The sequence below is a fragment of the Homo sapiens genome, chromosome 5 (assembly GCF_000001405.40).
Source record: "Homo sapiens chromosome 5, GRCh38.p14 Primary Assembly".
Taxonomy (NCBI): Eukaryota; Metazoa; Chordata; class Mammalia; order Primates; family Hominidae; genus Homo; species Homo sapiens.
In genome coordinates, this window is record NC_000005.10 from 54,697,360 (window position 1) to 54,715,901 (window position 18,542).

General features: G+C 41.6%; 2 long non-coding RNA genes across 4 annotated transcripts in view; one reads left to right on the forward strand and one right to left on the reverse strand.

Moving 5' to 3' along the window:
• LINC02998 (long intergenic non-protein coding RNA 2998) overlaps positions 1-18,542 on the reverse strand; it is an 84,101-nt gene that overhangs the window by 37,202 nt on the left and 28,357 nt on the right. The window contains exon 1 of one of the 2 annotated variants that reach the window (NR_104659.1): positions 5,808-5,965. The exons of the other annotated variant lie outside the window; for it this stretch is intronic. This is a non-coding gene — a long non-coding RNA (long intergenic non-protein coding RNA 2998). Of the gene's footprint in view, positions 1-5,807; positions 5,966-18,542 lie in introns of those variants that run through there. 2 annotated transcript variants of the gene reach the window in all.
• LOC105378969 (uncharacterized) overlaps positions 1-18,542 on the forward strand; it is a 45,510-nt gene that overhangs the window by 5,403 nt on the left and 21,565 nt on the right. Inside the window, exons 1-2 of one of the 2 annotated variants that reach the window (XR_007058769.1) lie at positions 4,466-4,684; positions 8,689-8,848. This is a non-coding gene — a long non-coding RNA (uncharacterized LOC105378969). Of the gene's footprint in view, positions 1-4,465; positions 4,685-8,688; positions 8,849-18,542 lie in introns of those variants that run through there. The other variant, XR_948330.3, reaches the window with a different exon arrangement.

The window sequence follows — 18,542 nt, forward strand, 5'->3', positions numbered from 1 at the left end:
ATTTATAGGGAAACTTTACAGAATCCTATTTAGTTTTAATGCTGGGATGCTTGGATGACACCACTGGTTGTCTTCTTTCAAAGGCTTTAACTTCCTTGTTCCCTCTTTTCCTTTAACCCCGTGGCTCCCCAAGCCAATAAAAACATCTAAAGGTAAATAAATCCATCAAGGTAGCTCATAACTGAAAACACTTATGTTATACTGGAACCAGTAAAATAGGCCATGTTCGGTTAAACTTCCCCAACTGCTCTTCTACCTCCACTCCCAAAACCAAAAAATAGCATGCTCTGTTTTTAAGAGTGTCTATTTTTCTTGTTAAAAATAGATGTTTCTACATTTAGTATTTGTTAAAATAAAAAAATCAAAAAGCTTACTTGCAAACCAGCAAAGAACCTAATGCGAAGAAATTGCATTTAGATTGATCTGGAGGGGACAAATACAAATGGGCTCTGCATTAAAATGGTTCCCACAGCTGAGGTTTCTGCTTGATTACGTTAAACTCAAAATGATACCAATGTGAGTGTCCTCAAATATAGGCTAATTTAATCAGAGTCTATTTTCAGTGGTTTGGGGAATGGGGCATTGCTGTGGTGAAGGAATAAAACTTTGTCTCTACCGACACTCATAGTAAGTGACCCTTAGTCACTTAGTGATTTTAACTAAAGCAACTTGGTCATACAGTGGCCTTCTCTAGGGGCACCGCATCTGAAACTCTCCATGGGATAGCCAGCAGCTTGTCCCCCACGTCCCTATTTTAGTGCTATTCCTACAATTTCCACCTTGTTGTAGATACTGCTGGCACTACAGTGGCCCACTATCATTAAGATAAATGGCCTGGGCTCTTAAAGTTAAAATGCAAATACTTTGAATCAATTGAGTGTTTTCAGCTGTGAAGAGGGATGGGCACTAGCTTCCCCCTCCTAAGAATCTAGACTTTGTTGGTTTCTCTGAAGTCATTGTCAAATATGGGAAGAGCTGGGATGAGTTTGGTAGGGCATATATCAAATATCAGGAGTCCTGCCACTCCTTGCAGCGTGATTTCTAGGAAATGTCCTGAAAGCTTGTCCAGATTGTCAGAAAGAACAAAGACTTCCTGTCCCTTAGATGAGGTTCTTAAAATTAGAGAATGTCTGAAGAAGAAATATCTGGACCCCAGTAAGGTACAGAAGCTCAACTCAGTGAAGATCCGAGTGTCACAGGCTGGGTCTCCTGAATAACAGACTTGAACACAGGAGGTTTACGCAGGAGTGCTTTGCAGATTGAACATGTGTAAGAGAAGAGAAGAAAGTAGGACTGGGCACAGTTGAACTGTGATGATGGATATCTCAATGGAAGACACAGTCAACCCTGCAGGGAGTTCTGAAGGTGAAATCACCTTCAGTGGTGCCCCCCATGGAGAAGAGGAGAGAAAGGGGATATTATGTCCCCATGTTGATTAGTCCCTGGATATGAGCCACCCAGGAAGGAAGTGAGTCCTTAAGCTAGGTGGCTCAGGGTCATCTCATCAGTTTGGAAGTGCCTCAAATCCTAAAGGGTGATCTAGGCTGACCATAACCACATCCATCATAATCCACACATTGCACTACTTGGACCCAGTGCTTCAAACAGGTTCTGGGAGCAATGCCTCCAGGATTTTAGTGGGCCTCTCTTCCAGAGGGAAATTTAGGAGAATAAGGTTAGTGGGATGAACTACAGCTGCCGATGATCTCAAGGCCAAAACAAACACTCATCAGGTCCCTCCTTTTCTCTCCATTCTGGATTTCTCTAACATTTCTGTGGACTCACTGGCTTATGTGGTCCTGTGAGTCAGACTTGGAAGGGTCTGAGCCCCTGATCACCATGCCTTTCACAGGCCAGGTTGCTGCATTTGACCATTCACTGTCACAATTAAGGAAAGGAATACCAGGAGGCACCCAGGGGAATCAACTGGTTGCTAACTATATTCCTCTGTGCCCTTATTGCCTAACATCAGGAGTCAATTACTTCTGCCAAGATGGTGATTCTTCTCCATACCTACCTGTCCCTTGCCATGAGGAGCTAAAGTGCCCAAGCAACAACCACAGCTTATCATCCAATAAGACTCAACAGAAGTGTCGGGCGACTCACAGGGAGTTTGAGGATGGGATAACTTATGCAGCTGTGGTGACCAGGAATTGGCCAGGACTTCATAACCAGTATTGATCAGTTGTTGGATACTGGTCACCCCAGGAAATGTATGTGACTTTGGCCATGGAGCTCTCCATGGCAATCACTGGCCTCACTTTTTCTGTTGAAATGTATTTGGAAGTGTTTAAAGGCATTTTGTTTGTTTGTTTTTACAAAAGTTGGGTGGTGCTGTTGGACTTTTTGTAGTTTCTTATTCCTTGGAAACATGTTTATTTCTTTAAACATAATAAACATTTTGTAGTCTGTATCTTATAATTTTAACATTTTAGGTCTTTATGGTCTGGTTCTATTGTCTATTTTTTTCTGCTAGTTCTCATTTATGTTGTCATGTTTATGCAACAAGTCATATTTGACTGTAGACTGGTTGTTGTATTTGAAAAATAATTTGAGAGTGATTAAACTCTGAGATGACAGAATTTTTCTCTGGAGACCATTCTTATTTGCTCCCGGAGCTTTACCAGTAAGGGATCTGCTTAGTCTAAGTTCAAGGCTTGAGGCTCCTTGGACCATCCAGTTGATGCAAACCTGGGCTGCAAATCCAAGCAAAAGTTGTTTTCCTTTAGGCTTTCTATTTCCCTGAGGGCATAAACCTTGGATCTCAGTTTAATATCTATGGAGAGAATGGGCTCCCCACTATGGGTGGGCCTAGGTTTTCACTTTTTTCCTACTTGCTTTGTGAGGCCACCGAGACAGCACCTCAGTTTTGCATGTTTCTTCAGGTTTGGAAAATGCTATTGAGGTCAAAGCAGCTTTGTGTGCTCAACTTACTTTCCCGGGATTTTGTCTTCTGTACTGTTGTAGATTAAATCTTCACTATCTTATTAACTCTTGGATTTTTTAAGAGAAATAATGTAAGAAAATTATTTCACCCAGCTTTTTAATAACTGTCCTTATTGGGAAGGAAGAAACCTCTAGTGTTTCTTGCTTGTAGTCAAACCCTGTGGTATTTTCTATGAGAATTCAAGGTGGGTGGGGGAGGCATTTTATTAAATACCTTAAATTTGCAAGCTTCTTTTGCTCATTGAAGTTGAGGTCAAGTAAGTCATATATTAGCTGTGCATTTTTCTAAGAATTTAGAATAAATAAAATTTAAAACCCACACTAAGCATGGATCTGATTTTCTACTTAGAATGTAACAACATAAACATAAGATTTTAATCAAATTATCAAAATTTCTCTAAATCCAATAGGATATGATACCTAAACTTTTAAAATAAAGCTGTAGAAATATCTATATCGTCAACGGTATTTTTAAGTTCTTCATGGCTTACCAGTTTTGATACCTTATTTGAGGAAAAGAAAGTCCGCTATTTTTTCAATATAGTAGAGACATCATTTGCAGTGACAGGAAGAAAATTCAGGCCCTCCTTGTAATTAGAGAGCCGGCACATAGTAATTACATGAGAAAATCCTCTCAGACATAACAATGTAATTGTAACCATCCAGTGTAGGATAATTTTCCTTACCTAAAAAGTGCCAAACACAATTAATGTTGACTAACTTCCAAAAGAATAATGAACTTTCATCTCTCAGATTCAAAATTACTCCAGCCTAGAGAGACGAGTTCTTTATTTCGGGAACTAGTCACCCGCAAATGGACCCTCATGACATAAATGAAACCCAAAACTCTTTTAAGTGCCAGATTTATTTCCGTGAGATCAATTTAAACCAAAAAGATTTCATTCTCTCAGAAAAATTATTCCTGCTTCCTTGCAATGCTGTGGTTTATAATAGAGTTATTATTAGCTTTGACCACAATTATGCCACTCTGACAGCTCCCACCTGCCTGGACCAAGAGTGACTTCTTATCCCTGGAATGCTGGTTACTCTTGTTCTTCATGCTACTGGGCTGGCACTCAGCATTGCACAATGATGCTTAGCCTTTTATGGGCATAGCTATTTCCTCAAGGAGACTGAACTCTTGGAGGACAAGGACCCTGCCTTGGTATGTCTTATTATAGATCCCGGAAGTGCCCAGTACTGGCCCCTTTTATAGAAGATGCTCAGTATTTGTTTGTGATGGTAATGATGATTCATGTTTGACTTGGGTGACAAATTAATTTTATTCATTCTGTTTCCTCAACCCCTAGCACATTGCCTGGCCCAGAGTAAGTACTCAAGAAAAGCCTACTGAATGAATGAACAAATGAATTAATGAATCATTCGAATTTTAAAAACTAGTTAGAAACACACACATACAGAATGGAGAACATTGTGAGCAGATTATTTCTTAGCCTTTGTTTTTAAAAATACAAAAATAATCTCACTTTCTTTTCTTTTCTTTTAGTTGACCACAAGAAGATAGGCTGTGACTTAATTGTTTTAGCCAAGTGCTGTTAAATCTCACGCTCCTTTTTCTTGACTCAGGAATACAGAATATAAATATAGAGTGCCCTCCTATCTCCCCAGTGTCATTGCCTTGCTCTGTGAACAAACCCAGAGGTCCAACGTTTGTGGAAGGCCGTCTTCTACTCACTTCAGAAGACGAATATGACAATGTGACCCATTCCCTGAGATGGTGAGTGCATAGGACATTGGAAAGCTGTCTTTGACCATAACAAGAGGAAGATGTCAAAATGATGTAAAGAAACAGGTTTGAACTTCAGCTAAAAGTTAAATGACCAGCACTGAATTCACATTGAATCCCTCCTTTGCTAAAGTATTACTTACCTGATTAGACATATTATCCACTAAGAGTCCTTCCAGCTCAAAGATTCAATGCAGTATAGTAGGAAATAATAGATTTTAAAATTTGAAGACCTGAGTGTCAAATTCTAGTTTCACCTTTTACAAGTTGTGTGACTTTGAGTAAGTCACATAATCTGTCTGACCCTTCAATTACTCCTGTGTGGACTGGGATGTACCATTCCTGCACGATTTCTCACAGGATAACCCGAGTCTCATTGAGGACATGCATATGAAAATGCCAACCACTAGTCAGATGTTAGACATTAATTGATAGTTAAGGAAACAGGGGCCCTGAGAAGATAAATATCTTCCCAAGAGACTCTAGAGATCCTCTGGCTGAGCACTTCCTGAAGCATTTCCTTGCCAACAGTGTTAGTTCCACAGAACACTCATTTCACAAGTGGCAATAGCCATGACATAACATAATCATTTTAAACAAGTATGGGAAATTCTGTGCTGAACAAAAATAAGCACATTCGTTAACTGCAGGACTTATCAGAGCCATTAACATGGTCATGTCCTTTGTGACTCTCTAAGCATTTCCTCCTCTTAATAGACAAGCTGTCACAAGATTAGGATTCCATGGAGCACAACATGGGAAATGCTGACCTAGTTTATTGCCTAGGTCTGATTTCACAGTCCTCTAATTCAGTGCTACTGCAAGTACCCAAATACCAGGTTGGTAAATATTTGTTCCTCATCTGTGATGAGAAAAAAAGCTTATGAAATTGTAAATCAACAAGTCATCAAAAAGTCTTGCTACCGAGAAAAAAAAAAAAGAAAAAAAGCCTGTCAGTGGAACGTAGTGAACTTATTCTGGTGCAAGCTCCACCAGTGTGCATACCAGCAGTGGTCCCCAGACTATGCTTTGAGTAACATTTCTCTAATTAATTGGATAAAGATGCAGCTTTAGTGAAAAAGCAGAATCTAAAGAAAAGAAACCTTTTTCATACCTTGTGCTTGGCAGCACATGTGAAGTCTGGAAGTTGTCTGATTCAGAAAGCTCCAGGCTCCCAGCAGTCAAAGGGTTGGCCATCAGGCAGATTGGATTGCTGGTTGGCAGCGTCCACCCGAGCCTTCCTAACTTCAGTTGCTAGTGCACTAACTGGACACAACCCTTAGTCATCACACTGGAGAGATGATCATCCCAACAGGATACAAAGCCAAGCCCTGCAAGGCTCCTTTCCAGACAAAAGCTGATCTAACTGAGCTGTACAAAGGGCAGGCAAATTAACTTCCTGTTAGCTCTGTAAAAATACTGGGGAAACTCTCCCTAAACAATAATCCCCAAGTGAGGGTTTCCATGAGAAAAAAGTGATGCAGTCAAATGAGGGAAACTGAAGAGTTTCAAAAAGGGCTAATTTGCAAAGATGTACTGGGTTAAAAGGAATAGTGATTGTTAAGCATGGAGTGCTATTACCACCCTTAGAGGGAAGGTCATTGGACCTGGAAGCTATGAAAGAGAGCTGCCTGCTTGACGGGCGCTTGGCCTTAGATCGTGGAACATGGACTCTGAGACTCACAGCCCTGCAGGGAGGGCAGGCAATGCCCCAACCTCACTTTTCCCTCTCCATGCAGTCTTTGCCCGTGCATCTCATTGGCTCTCTAACCAGAAGCCAGGGGACAAAGGAGCTTGTCGCTATGGTCCGTAAATGCCTATCGGCACAGCAGGGTGGACAGAGGATCTGGAAAGGTAAATGAAAATCATTCATCACAGCTCACCCCGTGTGCTCCTCTGTGGCTCTCGGCTTTGTGAGCAGCACATGAAGGGTGCTGGCCAGTGTGGAGAAGTGGAGAGCAGATCTGGAAGGACAACTGAAATCCATCTAGCACAGTGTCATTCTCTTCTGAGCTCAGAAAACAAATTGAGTTACAGTCGTGAAGGCTTTTGGTTTCTGTTGGCCTCTCTTGTCAAGACTTTTGCCAATCCAGTCATTTTTCTCCCTTTCAATGCTTTCATGGTGCCAGGGTATCAACATGCCTTTGTGCTGATCACAGTTTTTTCAGAATCCAATTCTCAAGACAAAATTAGGGTGGGTATGTTTACACACTAAAAACTCTGCTAATAAACACTAATATTTCAAGTATCCATCTTACTTATTTAATTTTTCTCTCATTTTTAGAGATAGGGTTGATTTGATGTTATTTTCATGTACTCAGACTCCTGATTAAACACATTTTCATGGTATAAATCTATTACTCTCTACCTAGCTACTTCTTAAAGCCTTTTTGCCTTTAGGGTTCTGATGACGTTATTACTGTTACAGACACATGGATATTAAGTGTTTACATTAAGCATCTGTCTGTAGGAGTGAGGCTGTGGATTCAGGCTGTGCAAGCTGTGAAATGCCTGGATGTGAGTGGAGGAAATGGCTAAGTAATTGCACTTTGTGCATACCCATTACAGCACTTAGAGTGGGCATAATGCTTGGTTGGGTGTCTGACCAGAAGCCCAGGAGAGAAGAAACTCCTTGGAAATAAATACTCTGTATTATCTTTCTCTGTATTACTTCCATTCTCTCCAATGATTACCAAATAGATTTATATTGACTAACTAACACAGTGACAGAAAGCCTACATCCAAATGAATAGTTCTGTTTTAACAGGATCACTTTTGGAGGCAATGTAATGGTTTCAACAATTGCTGGAAGATCTTTGTCTGCATCAACTTCTACTGGGCAGTCTCAGCCTTGGTAGTAGGAAATATTTGTTTTGTGAGCAGACTTTTTTTTTTTTTTTTTTTGAGACAGGGTCTCTCTATGTTCTGCAGGCTGGAGTACAGTGGCTATTCATAGGCACTATCACAGCACACTGCAGCCTCAAACTCCTGGGCTTGAGCAATCCTCCCAACTCAGCTCCTGACTACAGGCACTTGAGACTACAGGCGCATGCCACCCGGCTTATTTTTACATTTATTTTGTTATTTTACTTTATGGCTACCAAGTCTGGCAGTTATGCAACTGACAATAGTTTGAGTTAAAAAAAAAATTGGAATGATAGCACGGTTGGATCGGTGTTGCTGTGTGGCTGGGATACCATTTCAGGCTCAGTTGCACAAGTCAGACTCTATTCTAGCTAGTTCGAGCAAGAAATTATTTATTACAGGGTGTAAAATGGAGGCTTGAGAATAAATTTCAGGTTGTACTTCCAATAGTGACTCCCAAAACTCTACCCCAAGACTAGGCCTCCAAGAAGTTGTCTACCTTTCTTAAGATCGGGAAAATGCTGGCTCCCAAACCATATCATCATTGTCATCACTGCAGCCATTGAGGAGCCTCCCTGGTCAGGAGATGTCCCTACTGCTGCCAAGTGCCAGGAGTATGCCACATTTGGTATAATCAACATCAGTAAAACAGATGCTCCATGACTTGCCTTTCAACATCAAAAAAACTTTTTTGCCTATTTACAGGCAAAAAAGCCAAATACTTCATGTTTAATTACAGGTTCACAATCCCTTGTTTGATACCCTTGGGGGCCACATGTGTTTTGGAATTCAGAGCCGCAAAATTTTCTAGAGGAAAATGAGTACTCACCCAAAGTGGGAGAAGAAAAGGAAGACTATGAATGAATTCACAGCAAGGTCAAGTTTTGATGTCAAATGAATTTGTGCAAATTTATAAAAGTAAATCAGTGCTTAGAGTTTTGGGATTTTTGAAGTGTGGAGAAGGGATTTGGGACTTGCAGTTCACCGGGGGCTCTAAGTGAATTGCCTATTAGGGAGGTGATATAACAAAATTAAATATCCCCATGTAGACTCCATCCCCTTGTGGAGTTCACACTCATTCTATTCCCAATATTTCCTAAAGTGTCACCTCCTGTTTTCTCCTCTTCCAGTTTTACAACTTGAGGGAAAAAAGTGTGACTCTGAGATGTACCAGCTGTTAGGCCAGAGACAACCCTCAGATCACCTGGGACTTGCTCCTTGTTGCCTCCTCTTTGATCTTTGCATCAGAGGGCCCTGCCAGTCTCTGTCCTCACAGTACCCAGTCTCTTGGTAAGTGCTACTCTTCACACCTTCACACCAGCTCTAAGAAATAGATAGAAAGCTGACAATATTCGGCAGCTGTTCTCCTCCATGAACAATTGAGATAACTTAAAAATGTTCTGCAGCAATGTAGATCTTCTACTTTTTGCCCCATCCTTACTAAAAATGAAACACTTCTTGACTCCAAAAGATTGGTAAGTATTTGCTGAACAGAAGAGTAGTAGATTCATTTCCCTAAAACTCTGCTGTGGTCATGTCATATTTCTGCTCTACTTTCCAAAGTTCTTGCAGACTTTCAAACTTGCAAAACTTTCACAAGCCCTCCATGCACACTGAACAAAATCTTTCAGGACCTTTATGCTCTTCCTTCTGGCCTCTTCTCTAGTGTCCTGGAGATGTGCAATGTGGTTGCCCTGACTCTGCTAATCCTCTGTCCTTTCTTCCCTCTTTCCCTCGTTTCCTTTCTTCCACAGCTATTTAGTAAGCATCTTGTATGTGTCAGGCAGTGGATGTACAGTGGTAAATAGAACAGATACAGTCCCTGCTTTCATGGAGCTTTCGTTGATCCCCTACCCATCTCCTCTCACCACTTCAATATGTCTGTCCAACTTACAGTGCTTGCATTTTTTTTTGCCTGGGGTTTTTCTCTGGGCCACAGAGCTTACTTTGTCACACATATGGCAGGCTGCTTAAAGTGTTAGAGAATTAACACCCCCCTCAGCATCCTTCAGTCAGTAGCTGGAATACATAATTACCCCAGGCCCCTCACCCACTTGGGGAGGTATAGCCAGGAGGAGCAGGTTGTGTGCACTGAATCCCTGAATTCCGCAGCTGGACTGAGCTCTAGCTATAGTGGCAACTCTCTTAATAAAGAACCCTTTATCAGTTCTCTTTCCTTCTCTGTCTCTTTTCCCCATTCCTTTACTAAAGTTTCCTGGAATCAACTGCAAAATAAATTACTTGCACTTGAGTTTTATCTGGTCTGGCTTGGGGGGAGCCCAAAATTATTTTTCCGATAGCTTTACACTGTGTTATGTTTACATAAGAGGCAGCACAGGATGGTAGGAACACACAGATTTTGCATAGGTAGACCAGGGTTTGAATCTTGGTCCTGCCACAGACTAATATGTGATTCTGGGTAGATTTACAGAAGGGGAAGCTTGGTCTTTAGCACCGTATGAGGCTGATATTGATAATGACACATAGTTGGCATTCCAACTGAATTTTGTCTTTCCAAATATCTGTGTCTTGACTCAAGCTATTCTTATTGGCTGAAATCTCCCACCATTTTTGCCTATGGGAAATTTGCATTTGCCTCTAAGAGTCTGCCTCAGCCATGATGTCTTCTGTAATTAATGCAGCAAGGAGTGAGATCTTTTGTTCCTCAACTCTTATAGTATTGGTTATTAGGAGCATTTTCATAGCGCTGATCAAAAGCTAATCTGCTTTATAATGGTTTGTCTCCATCTTCCCTCCCCTGCTAATTGTAAAATTGACAGGGAACAGGAGCCGCATCTGGGTCTAGGACACAGCATTTTGTTTGCTGAGAGTCTGGTAGAACTTCCCACAGCCCACGGGTTGATGGAACTGTGATAACCAGCTCACAAGCTGGGGGAAAAACCAAGATCCCATGGCACCAAGTATTACACCCATGTAATTTTGTTACATTACTAATTATAAAGACACTGACATTTAAGAGTTAATAAAAAATGAACTGACCTTTTCTCTCCCAGGACCTTGGGACCCAAGGCAATGGGGAGTCAATCTCAGGGCAATTTCTGCCAATGAATTGTTCCCTGTAGTCAGACAAAGCCTTTCTTGTGTTCTTCCCCTCATTTCTCCTCGTGGGACCCTCCTGGAAGGTGACTGTCTTGAATGCTTTATTCATGGCCATGGTACCTTTTTGAGGAGGTTTCGTAGAGGAACAAGAGCTACTCTGGGTGCTGCTGCTGCTGCCCTGAGGCTGTTGGAGAAGCTTCCATAGGACCCACATGGCTCCCAGCAGCTGACAATTCATTTTAAGCCACCTGCCCTCCTGTCATCGTGGCAGAAAGGGGACAAAACACAACGTAAAATCACACAGTGTCTTCTTTTTATTTTTGTGTTACTAAAGTTAGTATTTATTTTATGAAAGTTGTAGCTGCACATAGTATTAGTTATATAGTCCACAGACTAATTACCAAAACCAAGAGCAATCCTCTATGCCCAGACCATTACAGCTCCCAGAGGCAACCACACGCAGCAATTTTAACTCTTATTTTTGATACTTACCTTCATATTTCTGAGTAACATGCTTATATTGCTAGTTCATTCTCCATAATGGCTAAAACTAAATAATCAAGATTTAACTTTTTTTATGGCATCAACCCCCTCCTACAAGCCCACTTCTCATCCCCTTATTGTCTCGATACAGTATATTTATATGATAATGTAGAATGTATCAATAATCAGTGTTTACATAATTAGGACTATGTAAACACTGCTCACCATGGAACCATGTTTTTATATATATATATACTCTTGCTTTTTCTGTCTTGTACATTTTTTGTTTTCCTAGAAGTTAGTGATTAGTTGTCTTATTTTATAATTTGCTTAGTTTTCAATGCAGTTATCATTAATTAGAACAGATATGTAAATAGATATCATCAAAAAGTGCTTCTGGAGCTCTTCACAAACCTCAGCTCTAAATACTCTCATAATGTTTAAATGTTCTCTTTATATTTTCAAATATATCAAATATTCTATCAATTTCAATTTCTCGAAACCATCTTTTCCAGATGGAATTGTTCTGATTTTTCTATTCCAGACTGATTGCTTTCTACCCTAGTACACAATTGTTATCTTGAGACTCTCTCTTCATCATAATTCCATGTGTCCCTTTTACTTCTCTCTTTTTAAGACTTTGCATATTTGAAAGTATTCGTATGCTGCTCTCATATTAAATTGACAGTTTGGCTGGGTAAGAGAGCTCTCACAATTTTAAAGGCAGATTCTCTATTGTCCTTTAACTTCCACTGAGGATGTTTAGAGATCCAAAGCAATTCTAATTGTTGGGCCTTATACAGGAAGTCTTACGTCTCTCTGGAAACTGACAAGATGTTGTTTTTTCCCAGTGCTCTGAAATTTAATGATGACATGCCTTGGTGTGGGTCTACTTTTATCCAATGGGCTTTGCATTACTGGGACTCAACTTCAAAACTCATGTTTCAAATTTACTTAAGTTATTCTCTTTGTTAATTTCTTTCCCTCAATTTTGTACTCATTCTGGAACTCCTATTATTTAGATATTAGATCTCCTGGATGGATCTTCTAATTTTCTTTTCTTTCTTTCCTGTTTTCCTCAATTTTATTTTCCAACTTTTCTAATGCATTTTACATTCCTGCCATCGCAATTTTAACTCCTCAAATTTCTTTCTTAGTCCATGATTATTCTATTTCTGTGGCATCCCATTCTCCTTTCATGGATATAATAATTTTACAAAATCTCTCTAAGGATCAAGTTAATTTTTTAAAAAATTTTATATCCCTTTACAGTTTCCGTTTTCTCTAAGCTGCTTTTGTCTTTTCCTGTATGTTTTTTTGTTTTTTTGTTTTTTTTGGTCAAGAATTATGACGAGTGTAAGACTTTTAGCCCACTTGCAGTCTAACAAGTTAGCCTACTACAGTTGCTTGGATGCTTTAAGAAGGCATGAGACTTCTGGGTCAGAGACACTATGTTATTCACAGCAATAGCCACAGCCAGAGTTTCAGCATTTGTATCAGTTTCCCGAGCATCGGTTCCCACAGGGCAACACAAAGAAGCCTGGGTAATGCCTTCATGCACAGTAGGTGATTATAGGAGAGGAACCCCAAGCTTAGGGGACCCCAGTCTTTTATAATGGACAGTGAGCTTATCTGACTTTTGCTCCAGAGTGAGACAGTATACTGAGCAGGAAATGAATTTGCCCTTTGCTGTGATAGGTCATACTGTCTCTTTCAAGGCTGTTTGCTGTACAAAGACCCTTGAAAAGATAGCCTAGAAAAGCATTCTGTGCCTCTGCTTGAAAGATTTGCAGAAATATGAAAGACTAAAGGGAATTATCTCGCAACATTTGTTTGTTTTTATATTTCAAATTAAACACTTTCCTCGAATGTTTGGTAATCCTTGGTTATCTACTTACACTTAAGAACTGTCTTGGCCGGGCACGGTGGCTCACGCCTGTAATCCCAGCACTTTGGGAGGCCGAGGCGGGCGGATCACGAGGTCAGGAGATTGCAACCATCCTGGCTAACACGGTGAAACCCCGTCTCTACTAAAAATACAAAAAAATTAGCCGGGCATGGTGGCGGGCGCCTGTAGTCCCAGCTACTTGGGAGGCTGAGGCAGGAGAATGGCGTGAACCTGGGAGGTGGAGCTTGCAGTGAGCCGAGATCGCGCCACTGCACTCCAGCCTGGGCTACAGAGCAAGACTCCTTCTCAAAAAAAAAAAAAAAAAACTGTCTTAAAGCTACAAACTTGGCCACTTATGCTCTGTAAGCTGCACTGTTTAACACAGTAGCCATCAGCCGCTTGTGGCTATTGAGCACTTGAAATGTGACTAGTTCAAATTGAGATGAGCTGCCAGTGTAAAGCACTCAATACTTTCAAATACTTAGTATGAAACAATATAAAATATCTCTAATAATTCATATATATATCATGCATTAGAATTATTTATTTATTTATTTATTTATTATTTATTTATTCAATTATTTTTGAGATGGAGTCTCACTCTGTCACCCAGGCTGGAGTGCAGTGGCACAACCTCGGCTCACTGCAACCTCCACCTCCCGGGTTCAAGTGATTCTCCTGCCTCTCAGCCTCCTGAGTAGCTGGGACTACAGGTGCATGCCACCATGCCCAGCTAATTTTTTGTATTTTTAGTAGAGACGGGTTTTCACCGTGTCAGGCAGGATGGTCTTGATCTCCTGACCTCGTGATATGCCCGCCTCAGCCTCCCAAAGAGCTGGGATTATTTTTAGACACATAGGATTAAATAAAATATATTATTAAAGTATGTTTAATACTTTTTTAAAATGTGGCTAATATAAAATTCTGAGGTTTGTGAAGGGCTTCTTCAGTACTTTCTGGTGATGTCTTTTCACCAGAAAATTCACATAATTTTTTAATCAAATGAAGTAAGTTTTCAGAGATATTTATGTCCTTTTCCACAATTACCCAGAAAATCCTTTGGCTATCATAGCATCTTTCTCTTTGATCACCCCTAGGAAATGTTTTTTGCTTTTAAGAACTCATGCGAATGTATTTAGCTCACCTACATAATCTAAGTTAATCTCTCACCTCTGCATGTAACCTTAAACACACAAAGTCTGCATGTAACCTTAAACACACAAAGTTCTTTTTCCAGGTAAGGTGACATAGTCATAGCTCTGAAGATGAGGACATGGGCAGCTTTAAGGGCCATTATTCTTCCTATCACACTATTATTGTGTCCATTTGATATGATTTGGCTGTGTTCCCACCCAAATCTCATCTTGAATTGTAACTCCCGCAGTTCCCACATGTTGTGGGAGGAACCCAGTAGGAGGTGATTGAATTATGGAGGCAGGTCTTTCCCGTGCTGTTCTCATGATAGTGAATGAGTCTCATGAGATCTGATGGTTTTAAAAATGGGAGCTTTCCTACACAAGATGTCTCTCTTTGCCTGCTGCCATCCATGAAAGACAAGACTTGCTCTTCCTTACCTTCCACCATGATTGTGAGCTCTCCCCAGCCACATAGAACTATAAGGCCAATAAACCTCTTTCTTTTGTACATTGCCTAGTCTTGGGTATGTCTTTGTCAGCAGCATGAGAACAGACTAATACAGTAAATTGGTACCAGTAGAGTGGGGCACTGCTGAAAAGATACCCCAAAATGTGGAAGCAACTTTGGAACTGGGTAACAGGCAGAGGTTGGAACAGTTTGGAGGGCTCAAAAGAAGACAGGAAAATGTGGGAAAGTTTGGAACTTCCTAGAGACTTGTTGATTGGCTTTGACCAAAATGCTGATAGCGATGTGGCCACAGGGTCCAGGCTGAGGTGATCTCTGATGGAAATGAGGCACTTGTTGGGAACTAGAGCAATGTTTTAGCAAAGAGACTGGCAGCATTTTGCCCCTGCCCTAGAGATTTGTGGAACTTTGAACTAGAGAAAGATGATTTAGAGTATCTGGCAGAAGAAATTTCTAAGCAGCAAAGCAATTCAAGAGGTGACTTGAGTGCTATTAAAGGCATTCAGTTTTATAAGGGAAGCAGAGCATAAAAGTTTGGAAAATATGCAGGCTGACAATATGATAGAAAAGAAATCCCATTTTCTGAGGAGAAATTCAAGCTGGCTGCAAAAGTTTTCATAAGTAACAAGGAGTCGAATGTTAAGTTGCAAGACAATGGGGAAAATGTATCCAGGGCATGTCAGAGGTCTTCATAGCAGCCCATTCCATCACAGACCCAGAGGCCTACGAGGAAAAGGTGGTTTCAGGGAATGGGCCCAGGGTCCCCGTGCTGTGTGCAGCCTAGGGACTTGGTGCTCTGCATCCCAGCTGCTCCAGCTGTGGCTGAAAGGGGCCAACATAGAACTCAGACTGTGGCTTCAGAGGGTGCAAACCTCAAGGTTTGGCAGCTTCCATGTGGTGTTGAGCCTGCCAGTGCACAGAAGTTAAGAATTGGGGTTTGGGAACCTCTGCCTAGATTTCAGAGGATATATGGAAATGCCTGGATGTCCAGGCAGAAGTTTGCTACAGGGGTAGGGCTCTCATGGAGAACCTCTGCTAGCATAGTATGGAAGGGAAATGTGGGGTCAGAGCCCCCACACAGAGTCCCTACTGGGGCACTGCCTAGTGAAGCTGTGAGAAGAGGGCCATTTTCCTTCAGACCCCAGAATGGTAGATCCACTGACAGCTTGCACCGTGCACCAGGAAAAGCCATAGACACTCAACACCAGCCCATGAAAGCAGCCTGGAGGGAGGTTGCATCCTACAAAGCCACAGGGGCAGAGCTGCCCAAGACCATGGGAACCCACCACTTGCATGAGCATGACCTGGATGTGAGTCATGGAGTCAAAGGAGATCATTTTGGAGCTTTAAGATTTGACTGCCCTGTTGGATTTTGGACTTGAATGGGGCCTGAAGCCCCTTTGTTTTGGCCAATTTATCCCATTTGGAATGGCTGTATTTGCCCAATGCCTGCATCCCCATTGTACCTAGGAAGTAACTACGTTGCTTTTGATTTTACTGGCTCCTATGTGGAAAGGACTTGCCTGTCTCAGATGAGACATTGAACTGTGGACTATTGAGTTAATGCTGAAATGAGTTAAGACTTTGGGGCACAGTTAGGAAGGCATGATTGGTTTTGAAATGTGAGGACATGAGATTTGGGAGGGTCAAAGGGCAGAATGATATGGTTTGCCTGTGTCCCCACCCAAATCTCATCTTGAATTGTAACTCCCACAGTTCCCACATGCCATGGGAGGAACCCAGTGGGAGGTGATTGAATTATGGGGGCAGATCTTTCCTGCACTGTTCTCATGCTAGTGAGTGAATGTTACGAGATCTGATGGTTTGCACAAGCTCTTCCTTTGCCTTCTGCCATTCATATAAGATGTGGTTTGCTCCTTCTTGCCTTCTGCTATGATTGTGAGGCCTCCCTAGCTATGTGGAACTGTGAGTCCAATTAAACCTCTTTCTTTTCTAAATTGCCCAGTCTCAGGTATGTCTTTATCGGCAGCATGAAAATGAACTGATACACCATTTTACAAATGATAAAACTGAGAAGTGCCATGTTCAAGGTCATACACCTAAGGGTTAGAGTTGCATTTTCAACCCAGGCTGTTTAGAACCAGATCCTGTGCTACATTAGGGCTGGGATGACTAAGAGCCAAGAACAAAATAAGGCAAAAGTCACCCCTTGGCAGAGGCCTCACGTATGTAAACTGCATTCCTGCTGAAGGCTTATCTCGACTATTTTTAAAGGCTTAGATAATGAAAAAGGAAGAAACATCCTTCTTTTGTTGTTGTGAAGTGGCTTAAATCATGTAGAAGCCCATTCATGTTGACAAGTATATAGGCTCTAGGAAAACCGATCAACTGTGGATTTGTTTGAAATTGACAAAAATTCCTGCCCCCAGCAAACTGGGGACAGAGGGCTATGTCCTTTATATCTTTCCTGACTCATCAATTTGATGAGGCCTTTGTTTTACAGCTGGGAAAAATATAAGGAAGAGCATTGTGGATGTGATTTTTTTCAAACCAGGATTCAACTAAAATTTATTTTATTAGTTCTCCTTCAATCTATAACCTTCATTATTATTATTGTTGTTGTTACTCTCCTGGCCAGCACATTCTTGTCACTAACAGTGCCTTGCTGTAATGATTCTCACTGGGGGTAGTCAGGGTTCTGAGGGGGTGGTGGCAGGAGAGCACTTGAACAAGAGCAATGACGACTGGGTCTACATGGGAGGCAGTCTGGACTTGGGGCACCCCAACAGAGGCACTACCAATCTAGGCTGTTCTCAGATGCTGGAAGAGGATTTAGACAAATATGAGGAAGACACTCCAAGATGAGATCCCTGATGAGGTACGGGGTCTGGGACAGGGGCCCTGCTTGCCCAGGTCAAGGGAAGTATAGGAGGTAGGGCAGGGATATGGAGAATAATCTCACAGTGGTGGGAAGGGTGAGTCGAATGTGTCTAGATAGCACATCTAAGGGGCTGCTCTCTCAAATGCCACCGGAACTCTAGGCATGCTCCTCCCATTCCCATTTTCACATCCTTCATTTATTCAGCAAGTATTTATTGAGCACTGAATGTGCACCAACCACTGTTCTAGGTATACTTCTAGCCAAAAATGCCTGCCCTCATAGAACTCACATTCTATTGGGGGAAACAGACAACAACATATGTAAGTAAAAAATATGTGTTATATAGTGAAAAGTGGTAAGGAGGAACAATGGCGTGTAGTGGAAGTGAAGGATAGGAAATACCAGGTGAAAGTGAGATGTTATAATTGTTGATAATGTGTTAGTTACCTCTTGCTGAATAACAAACTACCCCAAATATGAGCGGCTTAAAACAAGAAACATTTATGATCACAGTTTCCATGACTCAGAAATCCAGGCACAGTTTAGGTGTGCCCAGGGTCCTCTGGCTCAGGAAGTCACAGGCTGGGCCAGGGTCTCAGGTCTCACAAGGTTGTAATCAAGGTGCTGGCCAGGCTTGCAGTCATCTCAGGGTTTGAACAGGGGAGGATCCACCTCCAAGATCACTCACATGGTTGTTGGCAAGGAATCAATTTCTGGAAGTTTGTTGGACCGAGGTTCTCAGCTCTTTATCAGCTGGTTGGCAGAGCCCTCCCTCCTATCCTGGCCACATCAGCTTCTCTAGGGCAGTTCACAACATGGCAGCTGGCTTCACCAAAGAGAGCAAGTGAGAGAGGAAGGGAAGGCAAGCTGGAAATAAGCCAGACTCTTTGTTACCTAATCTTGGAAGTGACATGCCATCCCTCTTGCTATTTTCTTTTCCTTAGGAGTTGGTCACTAGGTCCCTCCCACACTCAAGGACAAGACTATAGAAGGACACAAAGACCAGGGGATGAGGATCTTTCAGGGCTATCTGAGAAACTCCTATTATAGAAGAAGCAGATTGGAGACCTTGCCAAGAAAGTGGTAGTTGAGTAAAGAAATGTAGGAAG